The sequence below is a fragment of the Homo sapiens genome, chromosome 9 (genome assembly GCF_000001405.40).
Source record: "Homo sapiens chromosome 9, GRCh38.p14 Primary Assembly".
In the NCBI taxonomy this organism is placed as follows: Eukaryota; Metazoa; Chordata; class Mammalia; order Primates; family Hominidae; genus Homo; species Homo sapiens.
The window spans coordinates 3,602,194-3,621,037 of NC_000009.12; the positions used below are offsets into that span (position 1 = coordinate 3,602,194).

General features: G+C 36.9%; 1 long non-coding RNA gene across 1 annotated transcript in view; it reads left to right on the forward strand.

Annotated features, from left to right (window-relative positions):
* Positions 1–18,844, forward strand: part of LOC124902110 (uncharacterized) — a 112,958-nt gene that overhangs the window by 75,709 nt on the left and 18,405 nt on the right. The window contains exons 4-6 of the long non-coding RNA XR_007061398.1: positions 330–391; positions 4,500–4,545; positions 5,462–5,494. This is a non-coding gene — a long non-coding RNA (uncharacterized LOC124902110). The remainder of the gene's footprint in view (positions 1–329; positions 392–4,499; positions 4,546–5,461; positions 5,495–18,844) is intronic.

Consider the following 18,844-nt stretch of genomic DNA (forward strand, 5'->3'; position numbering starts at 1 on the left):
CACGTGTAATTGAGGAGAGGGGCTATTCTAGTATAGTACTACACATAAATTGTGCATCATTGAGTTTAATTTTTGAATAGTTTGAGTTATAACTGAGTATTACAGCTTCTTGAAGGAGATTCAAAATGAAAAAGTGATTTATACTTTTGTTGTTATTAATATGTAGTTAGTCCTATAGTACCTTTAATCAAACATTTATAAGTGTATAAATTTAAATCTTAGCTTAAAATATAGGTCACTAACATACCATACGGTGCTATGGTGCTTCTGTAACAACACTGTACAGAAAGAAATCAGCTTCAATAAAATTCCTTTTTTTTTTTTTTCAGGAGACGACTCACCTGTATTGTACCTCTCCAAGTTCTGGAAAGTCGATGGAGGGTTTACTCAGGTTAGGTGTCTATACCAAACCAAACATTAGACTTTCATAAAAACAAGAAAGGAAATTGTTTTTGAAGTATTGAACCCACAGTATTTAATGAGAGCAATCTATATTTTACCTAATTTAGTCTCAAATATCACTTATATGTACATATGCATGCATATATATGTATATATACACGTATTACACTATAGGTATTGATATCATCTTCCAGCTCTTAGGCCAATGAAACATCCATGCTGTGGTCTGCTCTGGATTATTCTTCTATATTTTGCCTACCCTTTTTTTTAATATCTCACCTTCTTGCCTTAACTGGATGAGATTTCAGGGTCCTTATTTTTATTACCTATTAATGCATTTACAAAAAGTTCCCTCCAAGTACAGTGTTTTAAATTTTGGAATATTTTAATATACTTAAATTTATAGCATCTAATATAAACATGCATGTATCTAACTTCTGGCGTCCTCAAATTTAATATTTTGCTTCATTTTCTTTCATTTTAAAATTACACGTTACAGATATATTTGATGTTTCAGCTCCCTTAACCCCCAATCAATCCCATTCTCCTTCCTCTTCCTGCATATGACAGCCACGATCCTGAATTTGGCGTCTCTCATTATCAAACATGTTTTAATTTGCTTAAACTGTTTGTATTTATAGACAATATATAGGGCTCCAGATAAACATGTCAGGTTGAACACATGCACTTATTTTCAACCTCTTCTGAACCCTGATTTAAAATGCTATATGGGCATAATCACACAGAAACAAAACAATTCGTGCTTTGTGCTCACTTGAAGGGGGAGTATGTGGCGGGGAGGTTAATATTCTATCAAGATAGGAAAAAGGAGGCTAAAATATCCCTTTAATCAAGAATGCAAAAACTTTCTCAAATTTCCAGCTGACTTTTGCCTTTGTGTTATTGGCAAAAACTCAGCCATATGACCACCACAAGCTGCAAGAGTAGTAGGATAGCAAGTATTTTGCCTTTCCACCTTCAAAGCAGAGTAAGCAAGGGAGACAGGGGTTGTTCCTATATGTTGATTAGCCAAACAGGTGGGTTTGCTGCAAGGCCTGAACATCCTGTTTGGCTGGGAGGAGGGATTGGAAATATCAATTGGGTTTTAGCAGAGCTACCTTAGGTAAATCACATAAAATGCAATGTACCTGCTTTGCTTTTAAACACCTTCTTTAGCTCAGATTTCCCCAAAGTGTTCTGCTTAGAATAAGGATTCAGTGGGATGTTTTTATTTGACCACAGCATAATATGGCCAAATAAGCTTGAAAAATTAGAGTTGACTTACCACATTGTTAAAATATAATTATGCAATATTAAGTTATATGTAAATTCTGTCTGTCTCAAAATTCCGGCTTCCAGTGTATTCCCTGGCAGACAGTTATGGCTCCTTATTGATTTTTTTTTGTTTTTTTCAGTTCATGAATGTTAAATTAAATTTTATATGAAATTATAGTATTCAGGCCTCTTAACTCCAATTTCTGTCCTTTTATTCCAATTCCTTCAAGTAATATAAAACATGATTTTATTTTTTGAGATTAAAATTATAGGACTGTTTCATCTTTTCTTTCAGTTATTTTTTATTTATTTTTGACATTTAAATTTTATTTTTAATTTATCAAAGTAATACATGCACTTAGTTTATGAAATCAAATAGTCCTAAAATGTTTACAACAAAACCAGTAGCTCTGTGGCTCTCATTATCAAACATTATCCCCCACCTCCAGGAGCACTATTCTCATATTTGTTCATTTCTGTATTGATCAATGATAGGGGTAGGGGCCAACTGAAAACTTCCCAATCACCCTTTAAAGGTTTGCTGAAAAATCAGCTTAATTAGAGGCAGATTAATTAGAGAAAGGCAGATTAATTAGAGAAACGGCATAAAATTTATTTAATGTATATACATGAGAACCTTCAGAATGAAGACCCAAAGATAAAGGAGGAAATTGTCCATTTTATACTTAGGTTCAACAAAGTATGGACAGTGTTTAGAAATATGATTGGACAAAAAGGGTATGATCTAATGCAAATAAGCTAAGTGGAGAAACCCAGCAAGGCCTGTTCATCTAGGTTCTTCTCCGCCTCTCTGAGCATGTGTTCCTTTTCTGGGTACAGGGCAAGACCCTCTCTGGAATAGGGATCTTATGACTTACAGTCAAACAAGACAGGTTAGATAATTTCTTTATGGCCAGTTTTTACACAGAAAGGCAGAGGGAAAGTTGAAGAAATATTTTTAGATTTTATGGCTGGCTTTGGTGAAGAGGGGTTCTGGTTTCTATGACCCACCTTGGGGAAGAGGGATTCTAGTTTCTATAGCTAGCCTCAGGGGAGAGTGGGGCTGAGAGACAGGAGAGCAGGAGAAGGTTAGAGAAAAACTTTTGCTTCTGAGGCTGCTTTTGAAGCCTTCATTTTGGCGTATTGTTTTCTGAGCCCCGCCACTGGCGTGTATCATTATCTTTTTCCCTTCTTTTCTTCAACACTTATTTTTATCTTATATTTCAGAAAGTTTTAAACATTTATAACAGTAACAGAAATCATAAAATTAACCCTCATGCACTTGTCACCAAAATTTCACAATTACTAACACTTGGCCAATTTTGTCGCATTGAAATCCTCACCCATTTTCTCCTCTTCAGGCTTATTTTTCCACTTTAAAAAAAAGTCATTAAAGTAGAATATACATAAGGAAATGTGCACATATCAAAGTGTACTGCTCACTGAACTTTCATAGAGTGAACACAACTGTGAAATCAGTCCCTAGATCAAGAACTGGAACATTAGGGGCTGCTGAGTCCTCACTCATGACCCATTCCAGTCACTTTCCCTCCAAAAGGAACCACTTTCCTGACTTCTAATAGCATAGATGCATTCCCTCTGGTTGTGTATGTTATATAAATGGAATTATACAGTTAGTACTTTTTTGGTCCAAATTCTTTCATTCTGTATTTCTTTTTTTTTTTTTTTTTTTTTTTTTTTTTTGAGACGGAGTTTCACTCTTGCTGCCCAGGCTGGAGTGCAATAGCACGATCTCAGCTCACCACAACCTCTGCCTCCCGGGTTCAAGCGATTCTCCTGCCTCAGCATCCCGAGTAGCTGGGATTACAGGCACACGCCACCGTGCCCAGCTAATTCTGTATTTTTAGTAGAGATGGGGTTTCTCCATGTTGGTCAGGCTGATCTTGAACTCCCGACTTCAGGTGATCCACCTCCCTTGGCCTCCCAAAGTGCTGGGATTACAGGTGCGAGTCACCTTGCCCGGCCTCTATTTCTTGATATCTATATTGAATGTCAATTTTCTATAGATATTCAGTCTTTTGGTTGTCTGCTGGAAGTTGTTCTTTCTCATTACTGTTTAGTATTGTACTATGTAAACACACCACAATTTATTTACTCATTCTACTATTGGGCATTTCAATAAGGTCCACTTTGTAGCTATTTCAAATTGCATGACTATGAACAAGGTAAAACATTTTGGTGATCATATGTTTACATGTCTAATGGGTATATACCTATAAGGGAAATTGCTGGGTCATAGGGTATGTATACGTTCAGCTACAGTACGTACTTCCAAAAAGTTTTCTAAAGTTGGTTGACTAAATACATATTTCCACCAGTGGTATATAGAAGTTCAACATTCTGGTATTTTATGCCTTCCATTTTAGCTACTCTGATGGGATTGCAGTTTATCTTATTACGGTTTTAATTTGAAATCTGTAAACTAATGAAGTTGGACACCTTTTCATATTGTGTATGGGCCATTTGAATACTTACTTTTTTTGTTAAATTTCTGGTAAAGTCTTTTGTCAAGATTCCATTGTCTTCTAGATGTTCTTTAATTACTGTGAATATGAGTTCATTTTGAGATATATGTATTGCAAATATCTACCCCCACAGTGTAGGTTGCCTTTTTATCACCATAATGATAGCTTTTGATGAACAGAAGTTTTAAATTTTAAAACAGTACCATTATTCATTTTTTAAAAATTGTCCAGTGTTTTCCATATGCTGTTTAAGAAATCTTTGCCTACTTTAATGTCATCCATGTAATCCCCTATGTTTTATTCTAAACTCTTTATTGTTTTACCTTTCACATTTAGAACTTCAATCTATCCAGAACTGAGTTTTGTTTATGGTGTGTGCCAGGTAGGTGTGAAGATTCACTTTTTTCATATATATGCCAAAGGGGCCCAGCATTATTTATTGAAAAAAATTTATTTCTCCACTCTATTATTAAGAATCACCTTTGTCATAAGCCAGCTGACTATATGTATATGTGTTTCTTTCCGAAATTGTCTCTTTTCTGTTGGTTCATTCTTATTCAAATACCACTGTCTTAGTCACTATGGCTTTATATAGGTATATAGAATTGTAAGCCCTCCAGCTTTCTCCTTTTTAAAGATTGCCTTGGCTTTTTTGGTTCAAAGCATTTTCATATTAACTTTATAATTAGCTTTCAGTTGTCTAAAAATAATAAAAATCACCTATTGAAATTTTGTTTAGGATTGAATTGAGTATATAATTTGGAAAGAAAAGACCTCTTTACAAGATTGAGTCTTCTGATCTATGAACATCTATATCACTGTTTAAGTCATTTTTTAACATACTAAAATGTGACAGTGTTCTTACCGTTTATGGCAGGAGCTTTTTCAGCCCTGTTTTAGAATTCTTTCCCTACCTTTAAATCATGAAGATATATTTTTCTTAAAGCTTAACTAGTTTGCTTCTCATATTTTGTTTTAGAGAACACCTGAAATTGACTTTTGTGAACAGTGTGAGATTTGGTGCTATGGGTTTTTTCATTAATTTTGTTGGACACTCAAATGTGGGATATGCTTTTATAGTGTTTCTTTTATCACGTATTTCCCCTTGTTTCCTTCGCTACTGGAACTCCTATTAATTGAATGTTGGGTCTCCTAAACTAATCCACTAATTCGCTTATTCCTTTTAATATTCTCTATCTTTGTGTTTTTTTGGATTCTCTTTATTTTGTATATTTTTTCTTTTTTCTAACTTTGTATATATATATATATATATATATATATTTTAACTTTTATTTTAGGTTCACGGGCACTTGTGAAGGTTTGTTATACAGGTAAATTGTGTGTAACCAGGGTTTGGTGTGAAGAATATTTTGTCACCCAGGTAATAAGCATAATACTCTACAGGTAGTTTTCTGTTCCTCTCCCTCCTCCCAAACTCCACCCTCAAGTAGGCTCCAGTGTCTGTTGTTCCCTTCTTTGAGTCCATGTGTACTCACTGTTTAGCTCCTGCTTATAAGTGAGAACATGTGGTATTTGGTTTTCTGTTCCCGAGTTATCTCTTGTAGGATAATGACCTCCAGCTCCATCCGTGTTACTGCAAAAGACACAGTCTTGTTCTTTTTATGGTTATGTAATGTCCCATGGTGTATATGTACCACATTTTCTTCATCCAGTCTACCATTGATGGGCATTTAGGTTGATTCCATGACGTTGCTATTGTGAATAGTGCTGAGAGGAACATACACGTGCATGTGTTTTTATAGTAGAATGATTTATGTTCCTTTGAATATATACCCAATAATAGGATTGCTGGGTCAAATGGTACTTCTGTTTTTACTTCTTTGAGAAACCACCACACCGCTTTCCGCAATGGCTTAACTAATTTACATTTCCACCAGCAGGGTGTAAGTGTTCCTTTTTTCTGCAAACTCACCTGCATATATTATTTTTTGACTTTTTAATAATAGCCATTCTGACCGGTGTGACATGGTAATCTCATTGTGGTTTCAATTTGCATTTCTCTTATGATTAGTGATGTGCATTTTTTCATATGCTTGTTGGCAACACGTATGCCTTCTTTTGGAAAGTGTCTGTTCATGTCCCTTGCCCACTTTTTAATGTAGTTGTTTGTTGTTTGCTTGTTAATTTATTTAAGTTCCTTGTAGATTCTGGGTATTAGCTCTTTGTCAAATACATAGTTTGCAAATATTTTCTCCCATTCTGCAGGTTGTCTGTTTACTCCGTTGACAGTTTCTTTTGCTGTATAGAAGTTCTTTAGTTTAATTAGGACCCATTTGTCAACCTTTGTTTTTGTTGCAATTGCTTTTGGCATCTTCATCATGAAATATTTTCCAGGGCCTATGTCCAGAATGGTATATTCCCTACGTTATCTTCCAGGGTTTCTATAGTTGTAGGTTTTACATTTAAGTCTTTAATCCATCTTGAGTTGATTTTTGTATACAGCAGAAGGAAAGGGTCCAGCTTCAATCGTCTGTATATGATAAGCCAATTATCCCAGGACCATTTACTAAGTAGGGAGTCCTTTCCCCATTGCTTGTTTTTGTTGACTTTGTCAAAGATCAAATGGTTGTAGGTGGCACTATTTATGGGCTCTCTATTCTGTTCCACTCAGTTTTGTTCTTTTTCTTAGCATTACCTTGGCTATTAGAGCTCCTTTTTGTTTCCATTAAATAGATTTTTATAATTCTGTGAAGAATATCATTGGTAGTTTAATAGGAATAGCATTTAATCTGTAGATTGCTTTGGACAGTATGGCCATTTTAATAATATTGCTTATTCGTATTCATGAAAGTGGAATGCTTTTTCATTTGTTTGTGTCATCTCTGATTTCTTTAAGCAGTATTTTATACTTCTCACAGAAATCTTTCACCTTCCTCATTAGCTATACTTCCAGGTTTTTTTTTTTCTTTTATTTGTGGCTATTGTGAATGAGATTACATTCTTGATTTGGCTCTCAGCTTGGACATTGTTGGTGTATAAAAAGGTTACTGATTTTTGTATATTGATTTTGTATCCTTGAAGCTTTGCTGAAGTTGTTTATCAGATCTGGGAGCTTTTGGGCAAAGACTATGGGGTTTTCTAGGTATAGAATGGTATTATCTACAAATAGATAAATTGGCTTTCTGTCTTCCTATTTGGATTCCTTTTCTTTCTTTCTCTTGCCTGATTGCTCTGGCTAGCACTCCCAGTAGTATGTTGAAAAAGAGTAGTGAGAGTGAACATCCATGCCTTATTCTGGTTTTCAAGGGGAATGCTTCCAGCTTTTGCCTATTCAGTATGAAGTTGGCTGTTGGTTTGTCATAGATGGCTCTTATTATTTTGAAGTGTGTTCCTTCAATGATTAGTTTGCTGAAGGTTTTAACATGAAAGAATGTTGAATTTTATCAAAAACTGTTTCTGCATCTATTGAGATGATCGTATGGTTTTTGTTTTTAGTTCTGTTTATGTGGTGAATCACATTTATTGATTCACGTATTTTGGATCAACCTTGCATCCCAGGGATAAAGCCTACTTCATATGGTGGATTAGTTTTCTGATGTGCTGCTGGATTCAGTTTTCTTGTATTTTGTTGAAGATTTTTGCATCTATGTTCATCAAGGATATTGGCTTGAGTTTTCTTTGTGTTTTTGTTTACTTTATGGGATATATATCAACTTTGTCTTCCAATCCTTCTACTAAATTTTAAAAATTCACTACCACATCTTTAACTCCAAAAGTTCTTTTTTTGGTTCCCAAATGTTTCTTTCTTTATAGCCTCCTATTCTTGTTTTATTTATGTTGTATCTTTTCTTAAGCTTCTGAAGCTATTTACAATAGTCCTTTTTTTAAAAAAAATATTTAATTGACAAATACAAATTATATATATTTATCATATGCAATATGTTGTTTTGAAATATGTATACATTATGGAATGGCTAAATTGAGCTAATTAACATTTGTTTCATTTAGCTTTTTTAGAAATATTTTTGCAGTTTTTTTTGGTCAATGTTGTACACTTCTTGATTAGACTTATTCCTAGATTTGACATTTTTCATACTATTATAAATTATATAATTTAAAAATATTTATTTTCTCTCTTTATGTTGCTGGCATACAGAAGTACAATTGAAATTTGTATATTGACCTTGAATGAAGCAATCTTGCTAAATTTACTAATCACTTAGATTTTTCTAGATTTTTTAGGTACACAATTATAGTATCTGCAAATAATAACAGATTTTTTTCTTTCTCTCCAATTTATTTATATTTGCCCTACTCCCCCCAGTTTTACTGTCTAGGACTCCAGTATAGTGTTGAACAGAAATTGTGATAATAGGTATCCTTGTCTTTTTTCCAACTTCATAGAAAAAATTCCCAATATTTCATAAATGAGTATTAGTTAGCTAGGACCACAGGTGTCCACCATCTTGCCTGGCTAATTTTTGTATTTTCTGTAGAGACAGGGTTTCACCATATTGCCCCTACTGGTTTTGAACTCCTGAGCTCAAGTGATCCACCAGCCTCAGCTTCCCAAAGTGCTGGCTGGGATTACAGGCATGAGCCACCACTCCTAGCTTGTAGTTAGTCTTTTGGTTAAGTTCATCTTTTTGTCTTTCTATTCAAGATATGTGTAATTATACCCCACAATTACGGTGTTATAATATTCTGTGGTTTTCTGTGTGTTCACTATTACCACTGAGTTTTCTACCTTCAGATGATTTCTTATTGCTCATTAATACCCCTTTCTTTCAGATTGAAAAACTCCCTTTAGCATTTCTTGTAGGACAGGTCTGGTGTTGGTGAAATCCCTCAGCTTTTGTTTGTCTGGGAAAGTCTTTTTTTCTCCTTCATATTTGATGGATATTTTCACTGGCTGTACTGTTCTAGGTTAAAAGTTTTTTTCCTGCAGCACTTTAAATATGTCATGCCACTCTCTCCTAGACTGTAAGGTTTCCAATAAGAAGTCTGCTGCTAGATGCACTGGAGATGTATTGTATGTTATTTGTTTCTTTTCTCTTGCTGCTTTTAGAATCCTTCCTTTATCCTTGATGTTTGAGAGTTTGATTATGAAATGTCTTGAGGTAGTCTTGTTAAATCTGCTTGGTGCTCTATAACCTTCTTGTACTTGAATATTGATATCTTTCTCTACATTTAGGAAATTCTCTGTTTATATCCCTTTGAATAAACTTTCTGCCCTGACCTCCCTCTCTACCTTTGGTTTAGGGGCAATAGCTTTTAGATTTCCCCTTTTGGGGCTATTTTCTAGATCTTGTCAGTGTGCTTCATTGTTTCTTATTCTTGTTTATTTTTTCTCCTCTGACCATATATTTTCAAATAGCCTGTCTTCAAGTTCACTAATTCTTTCTTCTGCTTGATCAATTCTGCTGTCAGAAGACACTGATGCATTCTTCATTATATGAATTGCATGTTAAAGTCCTGAATTTCTGCTTGATTCATTTGCATTATTTCAATCTCTTTGTCAAATTTATCTGATAGGATTCTGAATTCCATCTCTGTGTTATCTTGAATTTAATTGAGCTTCCTCAAAACAGCTATTTTGAATGATTTGTCTGAAAGGTCACGTATCTCTGTCTCCCTGGGATTGGTCCCTGGTCCCTTATTTTATGCATTTGGTGAGGTCATGTTTTCCTGTATGGGCTTGATGCTTGTGAACATTCATCAGTGCCTGGGCATTGAAGAGTTAGGTATTTATTGTAGTCTTCACAGTCTAGGCTTGTTTGTACTCATTCTTCTTGGAAAGGTTTTCCAGGTATTTGAAGGGACTTGGGTGTTGTGATTTAATTCTTTGGTCACTGAAGCTGCATCTGCTCTTAGGGGCACCCCAAGCCCAGTAATGCTGTGGCTCTTGCAGACTCATAGAGGTACCCCCTTCTTGGTCTTGTGTAAGATCTTAGAGAATTCTCTAGATCAGAACAGAGACTCTTGTTCTCTTCCCTTACTTTCCCCCAAACAAATGGGATCTCTCCCTCTCCCTCTCTCTCTCCCAAAGGCTCTGTAATCAGTAGGTGGCAAATCTAGCCAAACTTGTGTCCTTCCCTTCAGGGAAATGGGATCCCCTCAGCCCCAGATGGCTCTGAAGATGCCATCCAGGAGCCAGGGCCTGGAGTCAGGAACCTCAGGAATATATTTGGAGTTATATTCTAGTGTGACTCAGCTGGTTCCAAAGCCACAAATCAAAGTCCTTCTCATTCTTCCCTTCCCTTTCCTCAAGCAGAGGAGTCTCTCTCCATGACCACCACCACCATAAGCCTGTGGCAGTACTGTCTGGCTGTCACTGATGTTCACTGAAGGCCCAAAGACTCTTCCATCACCTTATAGTGAATGCTATCAGTGCCTAGCTCTCCCTTCAGGGAAGTGGGCTCCCCTCTGGCCCAGGGCAGCCCCAGAAATACCATCCAAAAGCCAAGGCCTGGAATCAGGGACCCGAGTAACCCACTTAATGTTCTACTCCATTGTGGCTGACCTGGTACCTAAGTGGCAAGAGAAAGTCTCTTTTACTCTTCCTTCTCCTTTCCTCAACCAGAAGGATTCTTGCTCTGCAGCCACCACAGCTGGGAATGTGCTGGGTTACACTTGAAGCCAGCATGGCTCTGAGGCCCAGAGTGAGTATTGCCTGGCTACTAGTACTAATTATTGAGGGCTTAAGAGCTCTTTAATTAGCAGGTGATGAATTCTTCCAGGAATGGGTCTTTCCCTTCAAGCCAGCAGGTTTCATTTTGGCCTAGGGTGTGTTTAGAAATGTTCAGGAGCTAGGACTCAGAATGTGAGCCACAGGAGTCTTCTTTTTGTTCTATTCTACTGTGACTGTGCTGGTATCCAAGTTGCAAGAGACAATCCTTTATACTCTCCCCTCTCTCCTTTCCTCAAGCAGAAGGAAGGGGCTTCTCCTGGAGCTGCAAACTATGCTTCCTGGGGTTGGGGAAGGGGTGATATAAGCGCTCCTTTGGCTTCCCCAGCTAGTGTCTCACTAGGTCACATTCACCCCAAGTCCACGGTCTCCGAGCCCAGCACAGCAATAAGACTTGCCCAGGAATTGCAGTTCTTGTGGCCTAGACTGCCTTTCAAGTTTATTTAGGACCCCAGAGTGCTTTAGTCCATGGTGATAGCACTTGTTGGAACTTCTGCCCTGATTGCTGGGATAGATGATTCAGCTCTGGCTAGGGCTGGTCTAAATGCTCCCTCCATGGGTACTGGGTGAGATCTGCCTTGTGTTGCTTTCTTCTGTCACAGGGCAGCACTGAGTTCCAATGCAAAGTTCCACAATCCCTGCACTTTCCCTCCCTCAAGTGCACTGATTCTCTCTCCATGCCTTGTAGCCACTGCCACAAGATGGGTGAAGGATGGTGTAGGTAATTCAAGACTGTAGTTTCTACCCTTTTTAGTGCCTTTTTCTTTAATATTTTGCTAAAACCAGGTACTGTTGTCACTCACCTGATTTTTCATTCTTATGAAGGTATTCTTTTGTGTGGATAGTTGTTCAATTTGGTGTTCCTGTGTGTGTGTGTGTATGGGTGGGGGTTGCTGGAGGCTTTTATTTGGCCATATTGCTCTGCCTCCTCTATAAACCTCTCCTGGGCTGTATTTTTTGTTGAGTTAGAGGAATTTTTTTTATATTCTACATACATGTTCCTTGTTAGAAGTTATGTCTTGCCAGTTATTTTTTTCTTCAACTTTTATTTTAAGTTCAGGGGTACATGTGCAGGATGTGCAGGTTTGTTACATAGGTAAACCTGTGCCATAGTGGTTTGCTGCACAGATCAACCCATCACTTAGGTATTAAGCCCAGCAACCATTAACTATACTTCCTGATGGTCTCCCTCCCCCAACCATTCCCCTCCGACAGGCCCTAGTGTGTGTTGTTCCCCCAGTGTGCCATGTGTTCTCATCATTCAGCTCCTGCTTGTGAGAACATGTGGTTTTTGGTTTTCTGTTCCTGCTTTGGTTTACTGAGGATAATGGCTTCCCATTCCATCCATGTCCCTGTTAAAGGACATGATCTCATTCCTTTTTATGGATGCATAGTATTCCATGGTGTATATATATCACATTTTCTTTATCCAGTCTACCACTGATTGGCATTTAGGTTGATGCTGTGACTTTGTTATTGTGAATAGTGCTTTAATGAACACACATGTGCATGTATCTTCATAACAGAATGATTCATATTCCTTTGGGTATATACCCAGTAGTGGGGTTGCTGGGTCAAATGTAATTTATGCCTTTAGGTCTTTGAGGAATTGCCACACTGACTTCCACAATCGTTGAACTAATTTACACTTCCACCAACAGTGTAAAAGCGATCCCTTTCTCTGCAACCTCACCAGCATCTGTTGTTTTTTGACCTTTTAATACTAGCCATTCTGACTGGCATGAGATGGTATCTCATTGCGGTTTTGGTTTACATTTCTCTAATAAACAGTCTTATATATGTTTATTGGCAGCATATATGTTTTATTTTGAGGAGTGTCTGCTTATGTACTTTGCTTACTTTTTAATGGGGTTGTTTGTCTTTTTTCTTGTAAATTTGTTTAAGCTCCTTGTATATTCTGGATATTAGATCTTTGCCAGATGAATAGATTGCATAAATTTTCTCCCATTTTGTAGGTTGTCTGTTCACTCTGATGATAGTTTCTTTTGCTGTGCAGAACCTCTTTAGTTTAATTAGAACCTATTTGTCAATTTTTGCTTTTGTTACAATTGCTTTTAGCATTTTCATCATGAAATTTTTGCACGTGCCTATGGCCTGAATGGTATTGCCTAGATTTCCTTCTAAGGTTTTTATAGTTTTGGGTTTTACATTTAAATCTTTAATTCATCTTGAGTTATTTTTTTATATGGTGTAAGGAACGGGTCCAGTTTTAATATTTTGCATATGGCTAGCCAGTTCTCACAGCACCATTTATTATATAGGGAATCCTTTCCCCATTGTTTGTTTTTGTCAGGTTTGTTGAATATCAGATGATTGGAGGTATGTGGTCTTATTTCTGAGTTCTCTATTCTGTTCCATTGGTCTATGTGTACAAGTACGATGTTGTTTTGCTTTCTGTAGCCTTGTAGTATAGTTTGAAATTGGGCAGTGTGATGTCTCCAGCTTTGTTCTTTTTGCTTAGGATTGTCTTGGCTATTTGGGCTCTTTTTTGGTTCCATATGAATTCTAAAATAGTTTTCTTTTTCTAATTCTGTGAAGAATTTCAATGGTAGCTAAATGGGAATAGCATTGAATATATAAATTACTTTGGGCAATATGGCCATTTTCACAATATTGGTTCTTTCTACCCATGAGCATGGAATGTTTTCCCGTTTGTTTGTGTCCTCTCTAATTTCTTTGTGTAGTCGTTGGTAGTTCTCCTGGAAGAGGCCCTTCACTTCCCTTATTACCTGTATTCAGAGGTATTTTATTCCTTTGTAGCAATTGTGAATGGGAGTTCATTCAAGATTTGGCTCTCTGATGGCCTGTTGTTGGTGTATAGGAATGCTAGCAAATTTTGCACATTGATTTTGGATCCTGAGACTGCTGAAGTTGCTTATTAACTTAAGAAGCTTTTGGGCTCAGATGATGAGGTTTTCTAGATATAGAATCAAGTCATCTGCAAACAAAGAAAATTTGACTTCCTCTCTGCCTATTTGAATACACCTTATTTCTTTCTCTTGCCTTATTGCCCTGGCCAGAACTTCCAATACTGTGTTGAATAGGACTGGTGAGACAGGGCATTCTTGTCTTGTGCCAGTTTTCAAGGGGAATGCTTCCAGCTTTTGCCCACTGACTATGATATTGGCTGTGAGTTTGTCACGTATGACTCTTACTATTTTGAGGTATGTTCTTTCAATACCTAGTTTATTGAAAGTTTTTCACATGAAGGGATGTTGAATGTTATCAAAGGCCTTTTCTGCATCTTTTGAGATAATCATGTGGTTTTTGTCTTTAGTTCTGTTTATGTGATGAATCACATTTATTGGTTTGCATATGTTGAACCAACATTGCATCCCAAGATGAAACCAATTTGATCACGTTTGATAAGCTTTTGATGTGCTGCTGGATTCAGTTTGACAGTATTTTATTGAGGATTATTACATTGATGTTCATCAAAGTTATTGGCTTGAAGTTTTCTTTTTTTGTTGTATTTCTGCCAGGTTTTGGTATAAGGACGATGCTGGCCTCATAGAATGAGTTAAGGAGGAGTTCCTCCTTTTCAATTGTTTGAAATAGTTTCAGTAGAAATGTTATCGGTTCTTCTTTGTACCTCTGGTAGAATTCAGCCAGGACCTCTGGTCCTGGGCTTTTTTTGGTTGATAGGCTATTTATTACTGCCTCTATTTCAGAACTCATTATTGGTCTATTCAGGGATTCAGTTTCTTCCTGGTTCAGCCTTGGGAGGGTGTATGGGTCCAGGAATTTATCCATTTCTTCTCAATTTTCTAGTTTATGTGCATAGAGGTGTTTATAATATTCTCTGATGGTTGTTTGTATTTCCATGATATCAGTGGTGATATCCTTCTTATTTCTGATAGTGTTTCTTTTAATTAGTATAGCTAGTGGTCTATCTATTTTATTAATTTTTTGAAAAAACAAGCTCCTGGGTTTGTTGGTTTTTTGAAGGGTTTTTCATGTCATCTCCTTCAGTTCAGCTCTGATCTTGGTAATTTCTTGTCTACTGTTAGCTGTGGGAGTTGTTTCCTCTTGGTTCTCTGGTTCTGTTAGTTGTGATGTTAAGTTGTCAACTTGAGATCTTTCTATCTTTTCGATGTGGGCATTTAGTGCTATAAATTTCCCTCTTAATGCTGCTTTAGCTGCATCCCAGGAATTCTAATATGTTATCTCTTTGTTCTCATTAGTTTCAAAGAACTTTTTGATTTCTGCCTTAATTTCATTATTTACCCAAGAACCATTCTAGAGCAGGCTGTTCAATTTCCATGTAGTTGTGTGGTTTTGAATGAATTCCTTTTTTTTCTTTTTTTTTTTTTGAGACAAACTCTCACTCTGTCACCCAGGCTGGAGTGCAGTGTCATGATCATAGCTCACTGTAACCTCCGCCTCCCAGGTTCAAGCAATTCTCCTGCCTCAGCTTCCTGAGTAGCTGGGACTACAGGCGTGTGCCACCGCACCCGGGTAATTTTTTGTATTTTATTAGTAGAGATGGGGTTTCACCATATTGGCCAGCTGGTCTTGAACTCCTGACCTCGTGATCTGCCTGCCTCGGCCTCCCAAAGTGCTGGGATTACAGGCATGAGCCACCGCGCCCAGCCAGTTTTGAGTGAATTTCTTAATCTTGAGTTCTAATTTGTTTGTGCTGTGGTCTGACAGACTGTTATGATTTCAGTTTTTTCTTTTACATTTGCTGAAAAGAGTTTTACTTCAAATTATGTAATCAATTTTAGAATAAGTGCTGCATGGCAATGAGAAGAATGTATATTCTCTGTTGTTTTGAGGTACACAGTTCTGTAGATATCTACTAGGTGCACTTGATCCAGAGCTGAATTCAGGCCCTGTATATCTTTGTTAATTTTCTGTCTTGATAGTCTAATATTGTTAATGGGGTGTTAAAGTCTCCCACTATTATTGTGTGAGAGTCTAAGTCTCTTTATAGGTCTCTAACAACTTGCTTTATGAATATGGGTGCTCTTGTATTGGGTGCATATATATTTAGGATAGTTAGCTCTACCTGTTGAATTGAGCCCTTAATCATTATGTAATATCCTTCTTTGTCTTTTTTTTTTTTTTTAAATCTGTGTTGGTTTAAAGTCTGTTTTGTCAGAAATCAGGATTGCAACATCTGCTTTTTTCTGTTTTTCATTTGCTTGGTAAATTTTCCTCCATTCCTTTATTTTGATCCTAATGTTTGTCTTTGCATGTTAGATGGATCTCTTGAAGGCAGCATACCAAAGGGTCTTCACTCTTTATCCAATGTTCCATTCTGTGTCTTTTATTTGGGGCATTTAGCCCATTTACATTAAAGGTTAGCACATATATATATATACTTTAAGTTCTGGGATACATGGACTGAACATGAAGGTTTGTTACATAGGTATACATGTGCCATGATGGTTTGCTGCACCCATCAATCTGTCATCTACATTAGGTATTTCTCCTAATGCTATCCCTCCTCTTGCCCCCATCCCCTGAAAGGCCCCAGTGAGTGATGTTGCCCTCCCTATGCCCATATGTTCTCATTGTTCAACTCCCACTGATGAGTGAGAACATGCAGTGTTTGGTTTTCTCTTCCTGTGTTAGTTTGTTGAGAATGACGGTTTCCAGCTTCATCCATGTCCCTGTAAAGGAGATGAACTCATTCTTTTTTATGGCTGCATAGTATTCCATCGTGTATATGTGCCACATTTTCTTTATCCAGTCTAACATTAATGGGCATTTGGGTTGGTTCCAAGTCTTTGCTATTGCATATAATGCTGCAATAAACATACGTGTGCATGTGTTTTTATAGTAAAATGATTTATAATCCTTTGGGTATATACCCAGTAATGGGATTGCTGGGTCAAATGGTATTTCTAGTTCTAGGTCCTTGAGGAATTGCCACATTGTCTTCCACAATGGTTGAACTAATTTACATTCTCACCAACAGTGTAAAAGCATTCCTATTTCTCCACATCCTCACCAGCATCTCTTGTTTCCTGACTTGTTAATGATTGCCATTCTAACAGACGTGAGATAATATCTGATTGTGGTTTTGATTTGCATTTCTCTAATGACCAGTGATGATGAGCTTTTTTTCATATGTATGTTGCCGGCGTATGGCAGCATAAATGCCTTTTGAGAAGTGTCTGTTCATATCCTTTGCCCAATTTTTGATGGGTTTTTTTTTTTCTTGTAAATCTGTTGAAGTTCCTTGTAGATTCTATATATTAGGCCTTTGTCAGATGGATAGATTGCAAAAATTTTCTCCCATTCTGCAGGTTGCCTATTCACTCTGGTGATAGTTTCTTTTGCTGTGCAGAAGTTCTTTACTTTACTTACATACCATTTGTAAATTTTGGCTTTTGTTACCATTGGTTTTGATGTTTTGGTCATGAAGCATTTGCCCATGCCTATGTCCTGATTGGTATTGCCTAGGTTTTCTTCTAGGATTTCTATGGTTTTAGGTCTTATGTTTAAATCTTTAATCCACTTTGAGTTAATTTTTGTATAAGGTGTAAGGAAGGGGCCCAGTTTCAGTTTTCTGCATATGGCTAGCTACTTTTCCCAACACCACTTATTAAATAGGGAATCATATTACCATGGCTTGTTTCTGTCAGGTTTATCAAAGATCAGATTGTTGTAGATGTGTGGTGTTATTTCTGAGGCCTCTGTTCTGTTGCATTGGTCTATATATCTGTTTTGGTACAAGTACCTTGCTGTTTTGGTTACTGTAGCCTTGTAGTATAGTTTGAAGTCAGGTAGCATGATGCCTTCAGCTTTGTTCTTTTTGCTTAAGATTGTCTTGGCTATACAGGCTCTTTTTTGTTTCCATATGAAATTTAAAGTAGATTTTTCTAATTCTGTAAAGAAAGTCAATGGTAGCTTGATAGGAATAGCATTGAATCTATAAATTACTTTGGTCAGTATGGCCATTTTCGTGATATTGATTCTTCCTATCCATGAGCATGGAATGTTTTTCCGTTTGTTTGTGTCCTCTCTTATTTCCTTGAGCAGTGGTTTGTAGTTCTCCTTGAAGAGGTTTTTCACATCCCTTGTAAGTTGTGTTCATAGGTATTTTATTCTCTTTGTAGCAATTGTGAATGCGATTTTGCTCATGATTCGGCTCTCTGTCTATTATTGATGTAGAGGAATACTTGTGATTTTTGCACATTGATTTTGTATCCTGAGACTTTTTTGAAGTTCCTTGTCAGCTTAAGAGATTTTCAGGCTGAGACAATGGGGTTTTCTAAATATACAATCATATCATCTACAAACAGAGATAATTTGACTTCCTAGCTTTTTATCTGAATATGCTTTATTTCTTCCTCTTGCCTGACTGCCCTGGCCAGAACTTCCAATACTGTGTTGAATAGGAGTGGTGAGAGAGGCATCCTTGTCTTGTGCCGGTTTTCAAAGGAAATGCTTCCAGTTTTTGCCCATTCTGTATGATATTGGCTGTGGGTTTGTCATAAACAGCTCTTTATTATTTTGAGATATGTTCCATCAATACCTAGTTTATTGAGAGTTTTTAGCATGAAGTGCTGTTGAATTTTATCTAAAGCCTTTTCTGCATCTATTGAGATAATCACATGGTTTTTGTCATTGGTTCTGTTTATGTGATGGATTACATTTGTTGATTTGCATATGTTGAACCAGCCTTGCATCCCAGAGATGAAGCTGAGTTGATTGTGGTGGATGAGCTTTTTGATGTACGGCTGGATTCGGTTTGCCAGTATTTTTTTTGAGGATTTTCACATCAATGTTCATCAGGGATATTGGCCTGAAATTTTCTTTTTTGTTGTGTCTCTGCCAGGTTTTGGTATCAGGATGATGCTGGCCTCATAAAAGGAGTTATGGAAGAGTCCCTCTATTTCTAATGTTTGGAATAGTTTCAGAAGGAATGGTACCAGCTCCTCTTTGTATCTCTGGTAGAATTTGGCTGTGAATCTGTCTGGTCATGGGCTTTTTTTGGTTGGTAAGCTATCCTGCCTCAATTTCAGATCTTGTTATTGGTCTATTCAGGGATTTTACT